This window comes from Homo sapiens, chromosome 6, assembly GCF_000001405.40.
Source record: "Homo sapiens chromosome 6, GRCh38.p14 Primary Assembly".
Classification (NCBI taxonomy): Eukaryota; Metazoa; Chordata; class Mammalia; order Primates; family Hominidae; genus Homo; species Homo sapiens.
Window position 1 is genome coordinate 160,540,876 of NC_000006.12, and position 23,411 is coordinate 160,564,286.

The 23,411-nt window shown below is 40.9% G+C and overlaps 1 protein-coding gene across 1 annotated transcript in view; it reads right to left on the reverse strand.

Moving 5' to 3' along the window:
• LPA (lipoprotein(a)) overlaps positions 1–23,411 on the reverse strand; it is a 132,794-nt gene that overhangs the window by 9,394 nt on the left and 99,989 nt on the right. Inside the window, exons 29-35 of the mRNA NM_005577.4 lie at positions 16,515–16,696; positions 15,150–15,309; positions 7,603–7,784; positions 6,914–7,062; positions 4,565–4,658; positions 1,813–1,933; positions 232–306 (exon numbers count right to left, since the gene is read on the reverse strand). Coding sequence (NP_005568.2) covers positions 232–306; positions 1,813–1,933; positions 4,565–4,658; positions 6,914–7,062; positions 7,603–7,784; positions 15,150–15,309; positions 16,515–16,696 — 963 coding nt within the window. The remainder of the gene's footprint in view (positions 1–231; positions 307–1,812; positions 1,934–4,564; positions 4,659–6,913; positions 7,063–7,602; positions 7,785–15,149; positions 15,310–16,514; positions 16,697–23,411) is intronic.

Here is a 23,411-nt window from a genome sequence, read left to right on the forward strand (position 1 = left end):
TCCCTCTGCAGATTCCCTCTAGAAACACTTCCCTCCTCTCTCATCCAATTGCCCTGGAAATTCTGCCTCAGGATTCTGCATGCATTCCCTGGTTCCTAGTGTTCCTTCCAGAAAAGGAAGAGAGGTGGGGAGGAAGGAAGGGGAGGGTGGGAAGAAAGAAGGGATGGAGGAAGAGAGGGAGGAAAAAAGTCTTGAAGATAAGACCCCATGTCAGTTTTCCCTTAAACGTACTTCTTCAAGCAGTGAGCAGCAGTCAGCACCCACTCTGGGGATATTAAGGTGCCTCCACAGAAGTGCTTTCCAAACCTAGAAAGAAAACATGCCAAGGCTTTGGTCAAATTGGATGGTTTGTTCTACTTCATTGTACAGAAAGCCAGGAAGACAAGTTCACTCAGTTTTGATCATGTTCATATTCCCAAAGCAAAGGACTACCGCCCAACGTCAGGATAGTAGAAACTTCGAGCTGTGCTCCAGTAGTGAGATTTTTCAGAAGGGCCCATCTGTGCCACTTTTTTTGATGCCTGAGGCAAGAATAGGCACAGCCTGTCCCCAGGAGAGCAAAGCTAAGTGACTCCAGAATGAAGCTCTATAGCTGTGGCTTTCACCCCACAGCCCTGGACTCTGACAAAAGTGACCAGCCCAAGACCTTCCCAAGGTCTCTTTCATTTTTTATGACAAGATCTATGCAAGGTCACTCTTCAAGGAGCCAGATACGATCCTGAGCAGCAGTGACTCATGAGGGTCTTCTGATCTTACCTGAAAAGTTTACTTTTGGGGGATGTTTCTTGACTCACTTACTTTCTAGGACTGTGTAGGCAGTTGATAGATCAGAATAATGGTGTGAGCCACTTGGAGCCAGATTGCAACGAAGAGGAATAGAGATAGGAAGTGCATGATGGCAGTATGTTGATAGTCAGTGAGGACATAGACCACCACACAGTTTAGGAAAGAATGAATCTGAAATATGTGGAAGGTGAAAGCTCTGTAGAGCAAGAAGTTACAAACGATAAAGTAAAGAAAAATCAACTCAACAGCAGAGTGAAATGCGATGCGATCAGGTTTGTCGATGGCATTTCACAAACTTACAGAAGGAAGTCTCTTTAGAGGAGAACAGCAATTGAGCACAGGTGCCCTGGTGTAGAAAGGAGATGAGGAAGCAAAACATGCAGGCAGATGGGTCTGTGTCCTATGTGTTCTTCCTAAGAGACACCCAAGCAAACTGAACTTACGAATTGCATGTTCCACTGAAACGATACCCAAAATGTCCAGGTTCTGTGGGTTCGGACTGATTACTCTTCATTTATGGGGATCACAACCCATAATTTGTTCATGTGTTTGTGAATAGATGAATAGCCTCGGCATTGAATTCAATGATTCACAAAAGTGTAAAAAAAAATCTGTGCCTGTGATAGACTGTAGGTAAGTTTGCTCTTGTCCTCCCTCACTGCAAAGTGTCACATTTCTAAAAACTTCCCTTTCTTTTCATCTGACAGTGAGACAATGGATATCCATAGAAACCCTCAGAGCATCTTCAATATTTTCCAAAAGTATTGGAACTTGGTGCAAATCACTGTGCCTACAGATTTTGATGGAACTGCCCAGATCAAGAAAAAGATTTGTATTTTGGCTATTTTCCAAGTAGAGAACCTATAATAATATAACTTTTTTTAATTTTTCTATATTTTTTCCTCCTTCAGAAAACAGAGAGGCAGGTATTGATGCATCAGCTGTGTGGGTTCTGTGTAAATGTAGAAGGGTTTTGTGGGGCTTACATGGAAGGACAGTATAGATGGTTTCTGGGCCTGTTCTTACCTTGTTCTGAGACTGACTTGCCAGGGCCAGGAATGTGGGTGGGCCACACACCCCCCTACAATGCTTCCAGGACATTTCTTCGGCTCCACTTGAGGCTTCCCACAATCAAATGAAGAGGATGCTGTGGCACAAGGTGGGAAAAGAAGTCGCATTTGAGTCCAAGTTAGCAATTGTGTCGTTTAATTCAGGACGAATTCCAAGCACTAGTTTTTCACATCTCAAAGGTGAAATTAAATGGTAAAATCATAAACACTCTTTAGATTTTTCTTTCTAAGTTTAAAAAGTGGTAGTAAACAACAAAGGACACTCTCCTTTCAAGGAAATATAAGTTCTTTCTAAACCATGTAAAGTTTACTGAAAGGCACAAAGGATTCTTTTGCATGTGAGTCTCTGTGTGTGGACATATGTGCATGTGTGTATGTGATTTTATGTAGCAAGGATAACTGTCCTATGTTGAAATGTTGCCTTCTCTCAGCCAGCTTCAGGACAGTTCTTCTGGGGAGCCTCCCATGACTAACTGACTGCTGTGGGGGTAATTTACACACATGTGCCTCTATTCTTCTTTTCCTCCTCCCTGCCTTCTCTCTGCAGCAAGCCCACAAGGTCTCTGGAGGTAGGGAAAGTGTCCCATCTTTGGTACCACCCATCAATGCCTACAACAGTGCAGGGGCTACAGAGGGTGTTCAAAAATGCTTCTCTGTTGTCTCCAGCCCTTCAAGGTCTTCAAAACTATAAATATTAATATAGTTAATAATTATTCATATAATTATTAATAACAACTGCAAGAGGAAATTCCTCCCCAACCAACCAGAGATTCTACACTCCAGTGAATCTGGAACCTGAGTTTTCCAAATAACTTTTCATTTGCTGTGGGTTGTTTTGAGAATCTATCTATAGAAGTCTTTTGTAAAAAAGAAGCATGGCATGGAATGCAATCATCTTTTCTAGTGCTGAGCTCAATTTCTGCTAGTATGCCTTACATACAGTAAACATGCATCATTGTACTAAAAGAGTAACTACAGAAATTATACCCTACTCCTACTATTCAAAATAAAACTGAATGTTTCTATTTATTTTTACTTATTTATTATTCGTACTGAATGTGTTGGTGGAAATGAAATAGTTATTAAACTCTTTCTCCAACCAGAGGCTCTAACTTTCTCAATCATGAGTCAAACCTGAATATCCCACCAACCACATCCTTCTGCAGGAAACAGTCCTCAGGATTTCCAAGTGTCTGATGGGAACCCTCCTCACCAGGCTTGGGGTTAACCTCACTTGTCTTACATCAAAGTAAGGTGGGGAACCTCACAGTCCATTGGAAGAAATCTTGTTCCCATTCTTCCTTCTTTCTCCAATCTCTAAGAACCTGATTCTCATACATCCTCAATGTGGGTGAGGACAGCAGAATTGCACCTGGGAAGCTACTGCACTTCCCTTCCATGGGAGTCAAAGGTGCATGAGTCCCAGGCACTACTGTGGGTGTTTGAGGCAGGTAAGTCAGACTGGGCTTAAATTCAAGGCAGCCTGTCAAGGATAGAGAGCCCAGGCAGTGAGAGGCAGTGGCGTGTACTAGATGGGGCCAGAAGCGGAGAACTGGAACTGACCCCATCAAGAGACTTTGAGGTAGAGGAACCACCAAGATGCTTCTGCAATAGCACCGACAAAATAGAACAAAAGCACCCACTCGAGAAAAAAGTCAGCTATCAACTCACACTAAATCCAGAGACCACAATGCCACATTATAATAATATTGGCCAAGTAGAATCTTTCCTATCACCCTAACCTCTCCTTCTTCCCTCTTGCTCTCCCCAGGAGTGGCCCAAATGTGACGATGGGCAGTGTGGCTCCCATGATCTTCATCACTGCCCTGTACCACCTCCCCAGGCAATCTCAGGATGCTGGTCTTCAGTGGACTTGGAGGCCAACCTTCTTCCCCCAGCTCAAGGTCCCTTCACATGGCAGACCCAACCACAAGCAACCAAATTACACAAAAGAAAAGTCCAGGGTGGTGTTCTGTAACTCGGACAGACAAGTTGATTGGTCAGCAGGAAGAAAATAGGGAACAAGTACAAGTGGCTTTTTTTCCCCCATGGATTTGTTACCCCAATCATTTAAGATCTAATGTCAATTCCCCTTCCCCTGATCCAAGCCTCATACTCCCAATAAGAGTCTCAGAGCAATGAGGAAGGAACCTAACAAGCAGTCTCTAAGCAATGTCGCTAATGGGACTCATGAGTAGTAATCTTACGAGAAAGGCCATCTGGGGCTAAAGAGCTGCACTACCCTTCATTGATTTCCTAGGATGGCCATCTGAGGTTTACAATGTGCATTACATGCTTAGCTGTTTCCTGCTGCTCGTATTTTTTTTTTCTTCTCAGCTGCAGAAGAGGACAGTTTTTCATCATAATGACTCTAAATTTGTTTTTCATGCATCCCACGCTAGACAAAGAAGGGTTCGGTGGGACTATCCCGGGCTGATTAGATCACCTCTAAGTTTGCCCTTTGGGAATTTGACATTTATTTTATTTATGTGTGTGTGGTGGGAGGGGCGGGTGTTTTCCTAACAAATGGGGCCAATAGTAGGGCAGGTTCAAGGTGGCCATGATGAAAAGCAGGCTCTGGTGGAGAGGGCAGCCATCTCCTCCCCAGAAGCACTCAGCTCAAAAGCCATTTTCTGTTTTTTTTGCTTTTTTTTTTCCAAATCCATATTAAGGAAGCAGTTTCCTTACCAAAACAGAAGGCAACTTACCACAGAGAGGGATATCACAGTAGTCAAAAAGTTTTCTTGGATTCATTGTGTAGCACCAGGGACCATTGATGTCACCATCAGGGTTACGGCAGTACTGAAAACAAGCAGGCATGTAAGCTCCAGCTCACGTGGAGCAGGAGAGGGAGAAGATATTCTAAGGCACACACATTTCACATCTATTCTTAGAAGACAAAAGGGAGCGTTCCTTCTTCCTTTCTATCATTATTATATTTTTTGACAAAGTTATTTCTTTCTATGCTGTAAGCCATCAGTCATAGTCAAAAGGAGTTATGAGGCCACACCCTTAACCAGGGTGTGGTGACCCTGAAGGGTCTTTGGAGAATGTGCCACTTCTCCAGGAGCTTGACCCACTGGAGGTCTTAGAGCTAGAGCCTCAGAGGACAGTGGGACATCATTGATGAGCTTTGTCCCTGGGGCGCTGAGGGGTCTTCTACCTGATAAAGCCTGTTTGCTGTTGATTCAGAAATGCTTACTTCCATGCATTATGCACCATCCACAGCCAAGACACACAAAGGCAGTATCATCCTTAGCTTCCTGTGATATTGTGATAGAATAAGAAATGTATATTGGGTCTCTGCCCCCCAGTTCTTAACACAGAGCTCCTAAATCCCTTGGAGTTTCCTGGGTGAAGGGAGCTGCAATGAAGCAACTCTTGGTGGGTTCCTGGATAGCCCCAGGGGCTGGTTGCCAAGGGAACCAACCATGTGACTTGAGGGTTGGAACTGTTCAGCCCCACCCTCCAACCTCCAGGGAGGGAAGAGGGGCCGAAGGTGAGCCGATCACCGATGGCCAATGATGTAATCAACTGTGCCTCTGTAATGAAGCCTCCATAAAAACCCAACAAGACTGCACTTGGAGAGCTTCTGGGTTGCTGAACACTTAGGGTACTGGGGACTGGTGCACTGGAGAGGGCATAGAGGCTCTGAGCCCCTTCCCACGTGCCTTGCCCTGTGCATCTCTTCCACCTGGCTGTTCACCAGGATCCTTTTTAATATCTTTTATAATAAATGGGTAAATAAAAGTAACGTGTTTCCCTGAGTTCTGTGAGCCACTCTAGCAAAGTAATCAAACCCATGGAGGGTCATATAGAAAAACAGATCTTTATCCAGCTGGGCAGAAGTACAGGTCACAGCCTGCAACTTGGGATTGGCATCTGCAGTGGGGCAGTCTTGTAGGACTGAGCCTTAACTTGTGGGATCTGACACTGTCTCCAGATAGAGTGTCAGGACCGAGTTACATTGTAGGACACCCAGCTGGTATCTGCTGGAGACTCGCTTGGGGTGTGAGGAGAAATCCCCCCATATCTGGTGTGAGAAGTGTTATGTTACATGGGTGTGAGAGTGGGGGAACACAGACACTTTGGTTTTTCCTATATCTCAGTCTTCCCTATTCATAGGCCCCAAAGTAAACCATCACAGAGAATGCATGAGGCTAAGGGAAGTCTCATGGTGACCTGATGGCCCATCCAAATCTTTTCTAGAAAAATCTGACTTAAGCCTCATAGAGGGCATCTCTGACTACTAGAACCCAGAGCAGTGTGGTTCCCCAACTTTTTTGGCACCAGAGACCAGTTTCATAAAAGGCAATTTTTCTGTGCACCTGGGGTGAGGGGGCGATGGTTAAAGGATGACTCAAGTACCTTCCATTTATCGTGCACTTTATTTCAATTATTATTACATTGTAATATATAATGAAATAAATGTGCATCTCACCATAAGGTAAAATCAGTGGGAGCCCTGAGCTAATTTTCCTGCAAGTAGGTGGTCCCATCTGGGGGTGATGGAAGCATGACAGATCATCAGGCATTAGATTCTCATAAGGAGCATGCAATCTAGATTCCTCACATGTGCAGTTCACAATAGGGTTTGTGCTATGATAATCTAATGCTGCCTCTGATCTGACAGCTGGCAGAGCTCAGGCAGCTATGAGAGTGATGGGAAGCAGCAGAAAATACAGATGAAGCTTTGTTTGCTCCCCCGAAGCTCACCTCCTGCTGTGCAGCCCAGTTCCTAACAGGCCACAGATAATTACCAGTTCCAGTACCAGTACCAGTACCAGTACTGGAGTGGGGACCCCTGGCTTAGAGGACAAGCACTAGAAACGAGAAACAGCACCCAACAATGGAAACAGTAAAGAAATGTCAAAAGAGAAGAGGCCTGAGAACCCCCACACGCGTGGGGCTTTGCTGGCCTGTGCTGCTTGCACTTTCCATGCTAAGGCTAATTACGCTTAGCCTCCTGAAGTCTTTCCAGTATTTTCCTCTGCCCCTCTTCTGTTTGAAAAGATTTGTCAGCAAAGGGAAAAAGAGTCCAAATCAAAGTGGCTTACATTTTTTTCCAGACCTGCCCATTTATTTGTCCCTGGAATGAACGTGCTGTGTCTATGGGGCTCCTGGGCAGCCCATTCCTGGCATGGCGTCCCAGTAACAGTGGTTGCCTTCTTGCCCCGGTATCCTTTCCCATTCCCAAACATACAGTCTGTAGAAAAAAATAAAAATAAAACAGATGATTACAGACAGCCAGGCAGCCACATAGACCCAGGACGATACAGAATCAATGCAGTCATGTCAGGCTTCTCTAGGACGACAGAATCAGGGGCCACATCCCTCAGGAGCCACAACGCTGAAGACTGCAATGAACACTATTTTAAGAAATTACTGGAAATGCTTATTGGCTTGGAAATAATCACACAGTTGACAGCATGTTAGAATAGGAATTTGACTGGGACACTGAAATAACCCATTTTAGAATAAGGTGAGTGGTTAAGTTGAGCACCCTGGAGGTTTTGCGCCAGTCCTAAAGTCACTACTCCCACAAGTTGTGCCAAAAATCACAGCTCTGGCTTTCCCAGGGACGGCACTGAGACTTCCTTGGTCATGGCAGAACCTCAACCAACACTCGAGCTCCCGTGTAGCACTAAAGGCTTCTGCATCAGTGTGGTTTTTCATGTCTTTTCATCCCGTTGTCCAAGCACATAGAGAGGTATGTGCTAGACAAGGTAAGACACAGACTTCTTACCTTGTTCAGAAGGAGGCCCTAGGCTTGGAACCTGGATGACAGTCGGAGGAGCGACCACAGTCCCTTCTGTGTCTGAGCATCGCGTCAGGTTGCAGTACTCCCACCTGATGCTGGGGTCCATGGTAAAACACCAAGGGCCTGTATCGGCATCTGGATTCCTGCAGTAGTTCATTGTCAGGCCACTGGAAATTCCAAAGCAATACAAGTTACAGGAGGCGGAAGAATATTCAGGGACATCCAGCACCCTCTACATTTTGTTCTAACAAAGTCTTAACAAGTGTCTTTGAAATATTCCCATTAAAGGTATCATACAATTGCCACAACACAAATGTTCCTCAACTTCCCATTTGTGCATGCCTTTCAAAGATAGATGATAATTTTTATTTTAAAATATCAAAAGTAGTATATGCTTGTATTAGCCCGTTCTCACATTGCTATGAGGAAATACCCGAGACAGACTGGGTAAGTTACAAAGAAAAGAGTTTTAATTGACTCACAGTTCCACATTGCTGGGGAGGCCTCTGGAAATTTACAGTCATGGCAGAAGGCAAGGGAGAAACAGGCACCTTCTTCACAGGCGGCAGGACAGAGTAAGTGCAAGTAGGGGAAATGCCAGACACTTACAAAACCATCAGATCTCAGGAGACTCTCTCACTGTCATGAGAACAGCCTGGGAGAAACTGCCCCCATGATCCAGTTACCTCCACCTGGTCCTGCCCTTGACACATGGGGATTATCAGGATTATAGAGATTACAAGTCAAGATGAGATTTTGGGTGGGGACATAGCCAAACCCTATCAATGCTCCATATAAAAACTGAGATCATACATAAATGTGCAAAAGAAAGGAACCAGAATACCCTCCTTCTACCTTCTGCCAAGCACATACCCCTAGAGGAACCGGTATACGGATTTTGATGTGTGTCTTATAGATTGTTATGCATATACAAATGCGTCTATACCTGTCTAACTCTCTGTATCTCTTTCTACAGGACTGTATAGTAACATGTGAGTTGGAACTAACATATATTTCTCCAAGGAGGAAATGCCATCCAAGATGATATCATTCCCAGGCCAGCCTCCCTTACTCTCTGTACTAGTCGTGTAGCTAAAAGGCTCTGCATTTACAGTGAAAAACAACCATGAAAATAGCATTATTGTCAATACCACTTCAGGTGGGTCAAGTGAGTTTGAGTCTAAAAGACTTATAAAAGCTGACCTGGAAGACTAGGTCCCAGGCAGGATGCTGTTTCTCTAGGATGGGTTCCTGGGCAGAACCTCCTCTCCTACTCTCAGTCCATCCTCTACTGGCCACAGCCACTGCGGGACTGACAGAAGGGGGATGAGATGAAGGAACAGTGGGACCCAAGGCATAAAGTGAGAGGGCTGGCTAGACTATGGGATCTGAAAAGGTCCACCAGCTATGGAGGGTTCAGAAAAACAATTGAGTAAGTGAGAGGCACAGGCTGGGTGCTTTGGCTCACGCCTGTAATCCCAGCACTTTGGGAAGCCAAGGCGGGTGGATCACGAGGTCAACAGAGCGAGACCATCTTGGCCAACATGGCAAAACCCCGTCTCTACTAAAAATACAAAAATTAGCTGGGCGCAGTGGCGCACATCTGTAGTCCCAGCTACTCATGAAGCTGAGGCAGGAGAATCTCTTGAACCCTGGAGTTGGAGGCTGCAATCAGCCGAGATTGGGCCATTACACTCCTGCCTGGCGACAGAGCGAGACTCTGTCAAGAAAAAAAAAAAAAAAAGCACAGCCGGTGAGGACCCCGGTGGTGGGGGATCTTGGAGAATGTGCTCCCCTTCGTTCCTCCCAGGAATGTTGCTCCAACCTCTCAGAATCCTCACATTCATGACATGTGGCTGTCTGAGAAACCTTGAAATGTATTATGTACCGTGGGAATGCAACATTGTCTCTGTAGAGACTCTATACATGTGACCCAGTCTCAAGCCCAGATTCTCCATTCCAGCAAGCTGGTTCTCCAAGCAGCTGGCTGTGTTAGCAAGTATAGTATATGAGGGAGGTTATTGATCTATTTTCAACTGAGGTATATTTTCATGTATAGTCAAATGCACAGATCTTAGATGTAGTTTGATGACTTCTGATGAACATGTACACTTGTGTAACTCACACTTCAATCACAATACAGGACATTTACATCACCCCAGAAAAAAACTTCGTTTTACTGCTCAATCAATCTCTGCTACTCTCTTCCCATGGCCAGAGGCAAATGATATTGGTTTCTTTCACCAGAAATTAGTTTTACCTTTCTGGAACCTTACATCAATAGACTCATACATAATGTTCATTTTTGTTATCTGGCATCTTTCTTTAATGTAATATTTTTGAGCATCTTCCATACTATTTGAGAGTATCAAAAACATGCTCCCTTTTATTGCTGAACAGTATGCCATTGTATGACTAGTTCACAAATTATTTATTCATTTTCTTATTGATTGACATTGAAATTGTCTACAGTTTGGGGTTATAAAAAATAAAGCTGCTATGAATATTCTTGGAGATGTCTTCGTGGACTTATGTTTCCATTTCTGTGGGGTAAATATTCACAAACAGGATTGCAGGTTTGTAGGGTAAAAGTGCATTTATTGAACTTTTGGAGAAACTATCAGACTGATTTCAAAAGTGGTTGTATCATTTTGCACTTTCACCAGCATATGAGAGAGTTTCACATCCTTGCTCTACATCAGTGACATCAGTTACTGTGGTGTCTTCTTAATAATATCCATGTCCATTGGGTGTTTGGTGACATCTCATGATGATTATAACTCTTTATTTTTCATGGCTGAGATACTGGACATTTTTTCAGGTGCTTATTGGCTATGTGTACATCTATCTATCCCCAAGAAATGCCTATTCAATCTGTTGCCCATTAGTTGTTTGTCCTCTGTTTAGTGAGTGGGAGAAATGTTCCTATATTCTGGACACAAGCCATTTGTCAGATATATGGACAGAGAGCATTTTTCTTCTCATGTGTTACTTGCCTATTTATTTTCTTAACAATGACTTTTGGTAAGCATGAGTTTTCATGAAAGCCCACATTATAATTTGTTTTATTTTATAGTGAGTGTTTACAGACTCCTGCCTCAAAAAAGTTTGCCTTCTCCAAGGTTGTGAAGATTTTATATTTTTTCATGGAACTTTCATATTTCAGGTTCAGTTTTAGCTCTGACACTTAGGTGGAAGAGATATCAAAATAATTTGAGATGAAAAGCAAAAGTCAAGTTCTGCTTTTGTTTTGTATCATGGATATCCAAATGGTTCAGAATGATTTTGTAAAACATTTTTGTCTCCATTGAATTGCTTTGCCATCTATACGGAAAATCCATTTACCATATATGTATGTGGGTCTGGTGGTGGGCCATCCCTTTTTAGGTTTGCATACTTTTTTGGCCAATAACACATATCCTTTTTTTTTTTTTTTTTTGAGACAGTGTCTCATTCCATCATCCAGGCTGGAATGCAGAGGCATGATCAATGCTCACTCATGGCTAGACCTCCTGAGTCAAGCAATCCTCTCACCTCAGCATTCCGAGTAGCTGAAACTACATGTGCAAGTCATCACATCGATCTAATTGTTTATTTTTTGTAGAGAGAGGGTCTCACTCTGTTGCTAAGGCTGGTCTTGAACATCTGGGCTCAAGCCATCCTCCAGACTCAGCCTCCCAAAATGTTGGGGTAACAGGCATGAGCCAAGGGGCCAGGCCAATACCACATGTCTTGATTCCTGTACTTTTATAAGTCTTTATATTAAGGTATATAAGTCCTCCAATTTTTTTTTCCAAAAAAGGACTGTTGCAATAGTGCTTGGGTGTGGGTTTCATCCAAAGATCAATTTCACGAGAACTGATATGGAGTCTTTTAATCTATAAGCATGGTGTATATTTAGATCTTTTAATTCTTTCCTCAACATTGTTTTCTAGTGCAAGGTGTATAGTCCTTGAGCATAGTGTGTGAAATTTATCACTAAATATTTTTTGGTTTTGATACTATTGTCAGTGATATTGCTTTAAAACTTTAATTTTCCAAAGGATCATAGCATGTATACAGAAAAAGTTTTTGCACATTGAGCACGTATATACTTTTGTTTCTTCAATTTGACCACATTCACTTATTAGTCTTTAGGAGTGCCTGCATCCATTAATCACCACTCCAGCTTATTTATGATTCAGGTTTTCATGGTATATATCCTTTTTCATATTTTGGTGTTTAAAGTAGATCTTTACACTTAAAGAGTATTTATTCTAAAAAGAACACACTTAGCTGTGGTTTTTATTCAATTTACAATCTCTGCCTTTTATTTGTAATGCTTAATCCTTTTATATTTAATATACTCATAAGGTAGTTCAGTTTGTGTCTACAATAATGCTATGTATTTTCTGTTTACACCATATCTTTTATATTCTTTATTCCTCTTTTTCTTCCTTCTTTTGCATAAAAGGACTATTCCTCTTACTATCCATTCCTCTCAGTTTAAATTTTTTTGGTTGTCCTAGGATTTATAATATCCCACCTTAAACTATCACATTCAACCATCTATTAATATTATATAACTTCATGGATAATGCAAAAAACTCATTAACAGTATACTTCCAGTTATCATCTGCATTATTTGTGCTACTGTTTTTATGAATTTTACTACTACATACGTTGAAACAACAATATATTCCTATTATTTTAATTAATATCACAAATTGTCCTTTAAATACATTTAAAAATTAGATAAATAAGAGTATTTTATATTGACATTGCCATTTGCCATTTCCAGGGCTCTTCATTACTTAGTATGGATTAAAGTTCCCATCTGGTATTATTTTTCTTCTACCTGAATAACTTTCCTTAAAATCTTTTAATACAGAAGCCTGCCTTGGAAACATTCTTTTGTTTTTTTGCTTGTTTCCTCTGGAGGTGGCAGAATACGTATTTACATCACGTTTATTTTAAAGGGTTTTTTTGTTTATTTGTTTGTTTTGGCTGGACATGTCGTCCTAGGTTGATCTGTTTTTATTTCTCTTTATCACTTTAAAGATGTTATGCCATTGTTTCCAAGGAGAAGGCATCGGTCACTTTCATTACTGTCCCTCTATGTAAATGATATTGTTTTCCTCTGGCTTATAAGATTATCCTTGTTATCTTTGATGTTGGACGATTTATCTATAATGTACCCAAGTAAATCATAGAGTTTTGCTTTTAAAAATACTATTTCTGATTCATTGAGCTTCTTGACTGTGAGTTTATCATTTTCTTCATACGTGTAAAGTCTTCAGCCATCATTGCTTTGAGTATTTTTTTCTGTCCCAATATCTCCTTCCCGTCCTTCTGTGACTTGCTTTACCCATATATTAAATCTTTTGCTATTTTCACTGATATCCTTAAGGTTCTATTTATTTTTTTCAGCCTTTCTCTCTCTCTCTTTCTCTCTCTCTCTCTCTCTGTGTGTGTGTGTGTGTGCGCGCGCGCGCGTGTGCGTGTGTGTGTGTCTTACAGATTGTATGGCTTTCATTGAGTTATCTTCTGGTTCACTTTTTCTTCTGTAATGTATAAACTAATATTAAGGCCATCCAGTGAGTATTTTATTAAGGTTATACTTTTTTGTAGTTCTTTAATTTCCATTTGGTTGTTTTACGCATTTGCTTTTTTTTATATTCTGCATTTGTTTCCCTCATGTTCATGTTTTCTTTAAATCTTTGAACACAATTATCATATATACAGTTTTAATTTCTTTGTCAATTCCATCGTTTCTACTATTTCTTGGTCTATTTGTATTGACTGGTTTTTCTCCTAGTTATGGATCACACTAATTGCTTTTTCCTGCCTCATAAATTTTTAAATGATGTCACTCCTTGTGAATGCAACATTACAGAGCACTGTAATCATGTTATTTACCTCCAGTGATGGTTGAGTTTTCTTCTGTCAGGCAGTTAATTTACTTGGAGATCATTTGGGTCCTTTTAGACTTGGTTTTTAAGCTTTACTAGGGTGTTTCTGGGGTAGTCTTTATTCTAAGAAGGCATAAATCCTACTCCTAAAGTATGACTTTTCTGGGGTCTCTACTGAATGCCCGAGATGTTCAATGAGGTGTCTCTCCTCGGGCTGATCAGAACCCCGGTATCCCCCAGTGCTACGTGAGCTCTGGCGTCACCATTGAGCTCACTGTTTCCCTGAATTTGTCCTTTCCCCAGTAGTGGTTCTCTGTCCCACTTTGTAGAATTTCTCCCTGTGCATATGCAGTTTATATTAGACTTCCATGCATATTCCTTCAGCTCCTTTTCACCACAAATTCTTTCTCATTATTACCTAGCATAGAAAATACACATTTTCTTAGCTATCCCAAACTCCAGTCTCTTTCCTCAGTTCAGCAAGACTGCTGTGGTTGGCTTTGGCTCCAATTCCTTGCCCTTCAGTCCAGGAAGGTTCTCCAGGAAGAAAGTCATAATAGTTACGGAGTTGCGCTCATTCATTTCCTTTTCTAAATTATCTCAGTCCTGTACTGTCTCTTGTCCAACATGTGGAAAGTGTTTTTTAATATCTTTTATAGTCATTTATGGCAGAAAGCCAGTTTTTGTCAGACCTGGTTTTTTGTCCATGTACCTGCCCATTTTAATCTCCATATCTGTTTACTTCCTAATTCTCATCTACATTCTTGCTTTTGCTCTTCCTCTCCTGGCAACCCATATCCCTTCAGAAAACTGGAGCTTAGAACCCAGTGTGTTCACACAGGTTTATATATATTAATTATATTATATTATATTATATTATATTATATTATATTATATTATATTATATGTTAGTGTGTGTGTGTGTGTGTGTGTGTGTGTATGTGTGTGTGTCCTGCAAATTGTATGGCTATACAGCTTGCAGCTGTGCAGGCTATAGGGTATTTGGTCATCAGTCAGGGACAGACATAAAAACCTTGCATGTTTCCCTAGAACATATATATATATATATATATGTGTGTGTATATATATATGTATATATATATGAATACTAGTCTGTATGAACATATATATATGAACATATATATGAATACTAACTTATATGAACATATATATGTATATATATACATACTAGTCTGAATAAACACACCTGGTTATATATATACTCATATACATGTGAATTATTTACTTGTGACCCATGACAAAAATGGCAAAAAGCCTTCATTTCAGAGAAGGGAGGTTAGAATGATAGAATTGCATGGGTGAAAGAGTGCATTGATCTTTTATGAGCCTTGTAGAATGGCACTCTAAGTATTTGATCATTTGATCTCTTGAGCTTTATATTAAAAAGACCTCATCAGCTCCATGTAGCCTTCTGCTTCCATCAGACTATTAGAAAAGATAGCAAGCCTAAAATACCTATTCTCTCAGACTCTTTGATCAAAAGCAAAGTTGTCTGGACATTTTGACACACCTTCTGGGTCTAAGGGAAATTTGTCCTAACAAGTTAGCTTGAAGCAAGGCTCTTCTAGGAGGAACTTAAGTTGGCTGTTGCTCCTCTTACAAGTAACATCAAAGACATACTCATTTGGGTAGTTTTCTGGGGTCCTCTGATGCCGGTGTGGTGTCATGGATGACCAAGATTGACATGTCCTTCCTGTGACAGTGGTGGAGAATGTGCCTCGATAACTCTGGCCATTACCATGGTAGCACTGCCGGACCACAGGGGTTTGCTCAGTTGGTGCTGAAAATAGACAAAATCAAGCTGAGTAACTACTAGTATGCAGAAACATGTGAAGCAATTTATGACACAAACAGGACAGTAGTTTCAGAATTATGACTGTTCTCTTTAGTATACTCACAAGCAGAAGGACATGCTGAAGCAAAAACAATAGATTAATAACATTCTAATATTTTAATAAGTTCTTAGAAATTTTATATTCAAAACCTGGTGGGAAAAGGACCTATCAGTGCTCTTACAATTGGAACAAAGACTCATGTGCAAGCTCTTTCGTATGGCTCTCTACTGGTTGTTCATGAAAACAATGAGGCAGGAAACCAGACGATGATGGATTAGGTTATGCAGGCTGTATGGTGATTGGCTGTCAGTAGGGGACAGACATGAAAACCCTGCACAGTTCCCTAGATGATTGCTCCTGAAAAGCCAAAGCCTTAAGCTTCTGGTGGACGGGGCAGTTCATGGTCCTGCATCTAGTACTTGGAGGCAAAGACACATTGCTTCTTAGAGAAGGATGGAGGCTAAAATCTTATTCCCTTACAGTAGAGACAGGGAATCCTCTTGTTCCAGCATCCTGCATTGCAACAAAGCAGAAGTCTACTACCCTTCCTCTCAACACACACCAAAGATGCACGTTCCATGAGAAGAAGGCACAAGAACACCAAGAAATTCCTGCCTTCCAAGCATAGGTGTGCAGAGCCTACCTAAGACTGAAATAAGCCAGAGAAATAGTGTATTCTGTGGTATTTACTGCCAAATAGCCCCAGGATTAGATGGAATAAATATCATCATATTAGGTTTCCCCAGGATGACAAACTCAGCGGCCACATACCTCAGCAACTGCAATGCTGAAGATTGCAATGAACACTGTCCATTTTAATAAATGCCTGGAAACACTCACTAGTGTGAAATTTGGCACAAATTTGGCCTGATGTTAGAATTGGAATTTTGTCTGGAACACCGAGATAACCCCTTTCATAACAAAGTGAGTGGTAAGTCAAGTGCCCAGGTGGGTTTGCACCATTCCTGAAGTCACCGCCCACGCACGTTGCGCCAAAAATTGCTCCACCAGAGAGAGTGCTGAGGCTTCTTTCCACCTGCCATACCCTCAAGTTTCTGTGTAGCATGGAAGGCTTCTGCATCAGTCAGATTTTCCATCTCTTTTCATCCCAATGTTCAAATGTGTAGATATCTGGCCACAGACTTCTTACCTGCTTCAGAATGAGCCTCCATGCTTGGAACTGGAACAACAGTGGGAGTCTCTAGGACACCTGATTCTGTTTCTGAGCATTGTGTCAGATTGCAGTACTCCCACCTCACACACGGATCGGTTGTGTAACACCAGGGTTGTTTCCCAGAATCTGGATTCCTGCAGTAGTTCTCGGTCAGGCCACTGCAAATTCCAAAACAACACAGGTCACAAGAGGCGGGAAAAAATTCAGGGGCACCCAGCGCTGTCTAAACTTTGTTATAACAAAGTGTTAAAAAGTGACGTTGTAATATTCCCATTTTAGGTACAATAATATTCCGAAAAGCAAAAACGGTCCTCAAGTTCTAAAGAACCATGTAAATTTCCAAGATAGATTATAATTTTTATTTTAAAATATCAAAATTGGTCTATGATCCATAAAAAAACTGAGATCATACATAAATGTATACAAGAAAAATTCGGAATATCTTCCTCCTTCTGCCAACTGCATTCCTCCAGAATAAATGACATAGATTTTGAAGAGTGCATTTTAGATTTTTTTTTTTTTTTGTGACGGAGTCTCGCTCTGTCGCCCAGACTGGAGTGCAGTGGCGCAATCTCGGCTCACTGCAAGGTCTGCCTCCTGGGTTCAAGCCATTCTCCTGCCTCAGTCTCCTGAGTAGCTGGGACTACAGGCGCCCGCCACCACGCCTGGCTAATTTTTTGTATTTTTAGTAGAGACAGGGTTTCACCGTGTTAGCCAGGATGGTCTCAATCTCCTGACCTCGTGATCCACCCACCTCGGCCTCCCAAAGTGCTGGGATTACAGGTGTGAGCCACTGCGCCTGGCCTTAGATTTTTTTAATGCACATAAAAATGTATTGGTATCTGTCTCATTCTCTGTGTCTCTCTCTAGGACTCTGCAGTAACATGTAAATTGTAACTGATATATATTACTTCAGGGAAGAAACAACATCCAACATGATACCATTCCCAGGCCAGCCCCTTTATTTACTCACAGTGTAGCTAAAAGGCTCTACTTTTAGAGTGAAAAGCAATTATGAAAATAGTATTACTGTAAATAACATACCAGGTAGATCAAGTGTGTCTGGCTTTACAAGACTTATAAAACCTGCCCTAAAAAACTAGCTCCCAGACAGGATGCCATTTCTCTAGGATGGGTTCCTGGGCAGGACCACCTCTCCTGCTCTCAGTCCATCCTCTGCTAGCGGCAGCCACTCCGAAACTGAGGGAATGGAGGATGAGATGAAAGAACAGTGGGACCCAAGTCATAAAGGGCGATGGCTGGGTAGACAATGGGATCTGAAGAGGTCGAGTGGCTACAGAGGAGTCAGAAAACAATGGAGTAAGAGGCACAGAAAGCAAGGACCCTGGGGTGGAGGGATCTTAGAGAATGCACTCCCATTCATGCCTCCTAGGAACGTTGACCCAACTTGTCAGAATCCTCAGATTACTAACCTGCAGCTCTCTGAGAAAACCTGAAACGTATTATGTGCCATGGGAAAGTTTAGAGACTCTATGCCTGTGACCTAGTCTCCAGCCTAGACCCCCATTTGAGTAAGCTGGTTCTCCAAGCAACTGGATGTGCTAAAAGGCTGAGCGTTTAAAAGCAATTTCTGCCCTTTTTACAGTTGAGATATACTTTCCCACAGAGTGAGATGCACAGATCTGCAATGTTGTTTTTTTGATGATTTTGGATCAACACCTATACCTGTGGAGCCCAAACTCCCATCACCACACGGAACATTTCTGTGACCCCAGAAACTCTCTTGAGTCCCTACCCAATTAATCTGTGCTACCCCCTTACCACTGCCAGAGGCAAATACATTGGTTTCTTTCAACAGAAATTAGTTTTTCCTCTTTTGGAGGAAATGTAAATGATCTCATGTAAATGAACTCATACAGAATATACATGGCTTCTTTCCTGAGTATATTTTTGAGCTCCATCCATGCTATTTAAGATACTCAGTGCTGAATAGTATTCAAGTGTACCAGTAGGTTGCAAATTATTTTTTCATTTTGTTATTGATGAACATTGAAATTATTTTTACAGTTTGAATTATAATAAATAAAGCTCCTATAAATATTCATATAGAACTCTTTGTGGACTTACTTTTTCATTTCCTTGGGATAAAGATTCAGGAATAGAATTGCAGGTTTGTAAGATAGAGGCATATTGATGGAACTTTTTAAGAAACCATCTGACTGATTTTTTAATTCGTTTTATCATTTTGATCTTCCACCAGCATATGATAAGAGTTTTATAATCTACCTCCACATCAGTGACACCACTTATTATTATTTCCACCCATTTACTTTAAGTTTATGTGAGTCCTTATGTCTTAAATGAGTCTCCTGAAGGCAGCAGATGGTTGGTGAGTTCTTATTCATTCTGCAGTTCTGTATCTTATTATTATTATACTTTAAGTTCTGAGATACATGTGTAGAATGTGTGGGTTTGTTACATAGGTATACACGTGTCATGGTGGTTTGCTGCACCCAGCAACCCATCATCTACATTAGGTATTTCTCCTAATCCAATCCCTCCCCTAGCCTCAACTCCCCAACAGGCCCCTGTGTGTGATGTTCCCCTTCCTGTGTCCATGTGTTCTCATTGTTCAACTCACACTTATGAGTGAGAACATATGGTGTTTGGTTTTCTGTTCTTGTGTTAGTTTGCTGAGAATGATGGTTTCCAGCTTCATCCATGTCCCTGCAAAAGACATGAACTCATCCTGTTTTATGGCTGCATAGTATTCCACAGTGTATATGTGCCACATTTTCTTTATCCAGTCTATCATTGATGGGCATTTCAGTTGGTTCCAAGTCTTTGCTATTGTGAATAGTGCTACAATAAACATACGTGTGCATGTGTCTTTATTGTAGAATGATTTATAATCCTTTGGGTATATACCCAGTAATGGGATTGCTGGGTCAAATGGTACTTCTGGTTCTAGATCCTTGAGGAATCACCGCACTGTCTTCCACAATGGTTGAACTAATTTACACTCCCACCAACAGTGTAAATGTGTTCCTCTTTCTCCACACATCCTCTTCAGCATCTGTTGTTTCCTGACTTTTTAATGATCGCCATTCTAACGGGCATGAGATGGTATCTCATTGTGGTTTCGATTTGCATTTCTCTAATTAACAGTGATGATGAGCTTTTTTCATGTTTGTCAGCCACATAAAGGTCTTCCTGTCAGAAGTGTCTGTTCATATCCTTTGCCCACTTTTTGATGGGGTTGTTTTTTTTTTCTTGTACATTTGTTTAAGTTGCTTGTACATTCTAAACATTAGCCCTTTGTCAGATGGCTAGACCACAGAATTTTTCTCCATAGGTTGCTTTTTCACTCTGATGAGAGTTTTTTGCTGTGCAGAAGCTCTTTATTTTAATTAGATCTGATTTGTAAATTTTGGCTTTTGTTGCCATTGGTTTTGCTGTTTTAGTCATGAAGTCTTCTCCCATGCCTATGTCCTGAATGGTATTGCCTATGTTTTCTTCTAGGGTTTGATTTTTTGTTTTTGTTTTTGTTTTTTTGATGGAGTCTCACTCTGTTGCCCAGGCTGGAGTGCAGTGGCACAATCTTGGCTTGCTGCAAGCTCAACCTCCTCAGCTCATGCCATTCTCCTGCCTCAGCCTCCCAAGTAGCTGGGACTACAGGTGCCCACGACCACACCCAGCTAATTTTTTGTATTTTTAGTAGAGATGGGCTTTCACTGTGTTAGCCAAGATGGTCTCGATCTCCTGACCTCGTGATCCATCCACCTCGGCCTCCCAAAGTGTCTTCTAGGGTTTTTATGGTTTTAGGTCTTACATTTAATTCTTTAATCTATCTTGAGTTAATTTGTGTATAAGGTGTAAGGAAGGGATCCAGTTTCAGTTTTCTGCATATGGCTAGCCAGTTTTCCCAACACCATTTATTAAATAGGGAATCCTTTCCCCATTGCTTATTTTTGTCCAGTTTGTCAAAGATCCAATAGTTGTAGATGTGTGGTGTTATTTCTGAGGCCTCTGTTCTGTTCTATTGGTCTATATATCTGTTTTGGTACCAGTACCATACCATGCTGTTTTTGTTACTGTAGCCTTGTAGTATATTTTGAAGTCAGATAGCATGATGCCTCCAGCTTTGTTCTTTTTGCTTAGGTTGTCTTGGATATACAGGCCCTTTTTCTATTCCATATGAAATTGAAAGTAGTTTTTTCTAATTATGTGAAGAAATCAATGGTAGCTTGATGGGGATAACATTGAATCTATAAATCACTTTGGGCAGTATGGCAATTTTCACAATATTGATTCTTCCAATCCATTAGCATGGAATGTTTTTCCATTTGTTTGTGTCCTATCTTATTTCCTTGAGCAGTGGTTTGTAGTTCTCCTTGAAGAGGTCCTTCACATCCCTTGTAAGTTGGATTCCTAGGTATATTTTATTCTCTTTGTAGCAATTGTGAATGGGAATTCACTCAGGATTTGGCTCTGTGTCTCTTATTGGTGTATAGGAATGCTTGTGATTTTTGCACATTGATTTTGTATCCTGAGACTTTGCTGAAGTTGCTTATCAGCTTAAGGAGATTTTGGGCTGAGATGATAGAGTTTTCTAAATATACAATCATGTCATCTGCAAAGAGAAATAATTTGACTCCCTCTCTTCCCACTTGAATACCTTTATTTCTTTCTCTTGCCTGATTGCCCTGGACAGAATTTCCAATACTATGTTGAATAGGAGTGGTGAGAGAGGGCATCCTTGTCTTGTGCTGGTTTTCAAAGGGAATGCTTCCAGCTTCTGCTCATTCAGTATGATATTGGCTATGCATTTGTCATAAGTAGCTCTTATTATTTTGAGACATGCTCCATCAATACCTAGTTTATTAAGAGTTTTTAGCATGATTGGGTATTGAATTTTATCAAAGGCCTTTTCTGCGTCTATTGCGATAATCATACGGTTTTTGTCATTGGTTCTGTTTATGTGATGGATTATGTTTATTGATTTGAATATGTTGAACCAGCCTTGCATCCCAGGGATGAAGCCAACTTGATCATGGTGGATAAGCTTTTTGATGTGCTGCTGGATTCAGTTTGCCAGTATTTTATTGAGGATTTTCACATTGATGTTCATCAGGGATGTTGGCCTGAAATTTTCTTTTCTTGTTGTGTCTCTGCCAGGTTTTGGTATCAGAATGATGCTGGCCTCATAAAATGAGTTAGGCAGGAGTCCCTCTTTTTCTATTGTGTGGAATAGTTTCAGAAGGAATAGTACTAGCTCTTCTTTGTACCTCTGTTAGGATTTGACTGTTAATCCCTCTGGTCTGGGCTTTTTTTGGTTGGTAAGCTATTAATTACTGCCTCGATTTCAGAACTTGTTATTGGTCTATTCAGGGATTTGACTTCTTCCTGGTTTAGTCTTGGGAGGGTGTATGTGTCCAGGAATTTATCCATTTCTTTTAGATTTTCTATTTTATTTGCATAGAGGTGTTTAAAGTATTCTCTGATGGTAGTTTGTATTTCTGTGGCATCATTGGTGATATCCCCTTTATTATTCTTTATTGTGTCTATTTGATTCTTCTCTATTTTCTTCTTTATTAGTCTGGCTAGGCTTCTATGTATTTTGTTAATCTTTTCAAAAAACCAGCTCTTGGATTTATTAATTTTTTAAAGGGTTTTCGTGTCTTTATCCCCTTCAGTTCTGCTCTGATCTTAGTTATTTCTTGTCTTCTGCTAGCTTTTGTATTTGTTTGCTCTTGCTTCTCTGGTTCTTTGAATTGTGATGTTAGGGTGTTGATTTTAGATCTTTCCCGCTTTCTCCTGTGGGCATTTAGTGCTATAAATTTCCCTCTAAACATGGCTTTAGCTGTGTACCAGAGATTCTGGCACATTGTGTCTTTGTTCTCTTTGGTTTCTAAGAACTTATCTACTTCTGCCTTAATTTTGTTATTTACCCAGTAGTAATTCAGGAGCAGGTTGTTCAGTTTCCATATAGTTGTGTGGTTTTGAGTGAGTTTATTAATCCTGAGTTCTAGTTTGATTGCACTTTGGTCTGAGAGACTGTTTGTTATGATTTCCATTCTACGGCATTTGCTGAGAAGTGTTTTACTTCCAATTATGTGGTCAATTTTAGAATAAGTGCAATGTGGTGCTGAGAAGAATGTATATTCTGTTGATTTGTGGTGTCGAGTTCTGTAGATGTCTATTAGGTCAGCTTGGTCCAGAGCTGAATTCACGTCCTGAATATCCTTGTTAATTTTCTGTCACGTCGATCTAATATTGGCTGTGGGGTGTTAAAGTCTCCCACTATTTTTGTGTGGAAGTCTAAGTCTCTTTGTAGGTCTCTAAGAACTTGCTTTATTAATCTGGGTGCTCCTGTATTGGGTGCATATATAAGTAGGACAGTCAGATCTTCTTGTTGCATTGATACTTTTACCATTAGGTAATGCCCTCCTTTGTCTCTTTTGATCTTTGATGGTTTAAAGTCTGTTTCATCAAAGACTAAGATTGCAACCGCTGCTTTTTTTTTCTTTCCATTTGCTTGGTAAATATTCCTTCATTTCTTTATTTTGAGCCCATGTATGTCTTTTCACCCTGAGATGGGTCTTCTGAACACAGCAAACCAATGGGTCTTGACTCTTTATTCAATTTCCCAGTCTGTGTCTTTTAATTGGGGCATTTAGCCCATTTACATTTAAGGTTAATATTGTTATGTGTGAATTTGATCCTGTCATTATGATGCTAGCTGGCTATTTTGCCCATTAGTTGATGCAGTTTCTTTATAGTGTTGATGGTGTTTACAATTTGGTATGTTTTTGCAGTAGCTGTTACTGGTTTTTCCTTTCCATATTTAGTGTTTTCTTCAGGACCTCTTGTAAGGCAGGCCTGGTGTTGACAAAATTCCTCAGCATTTGC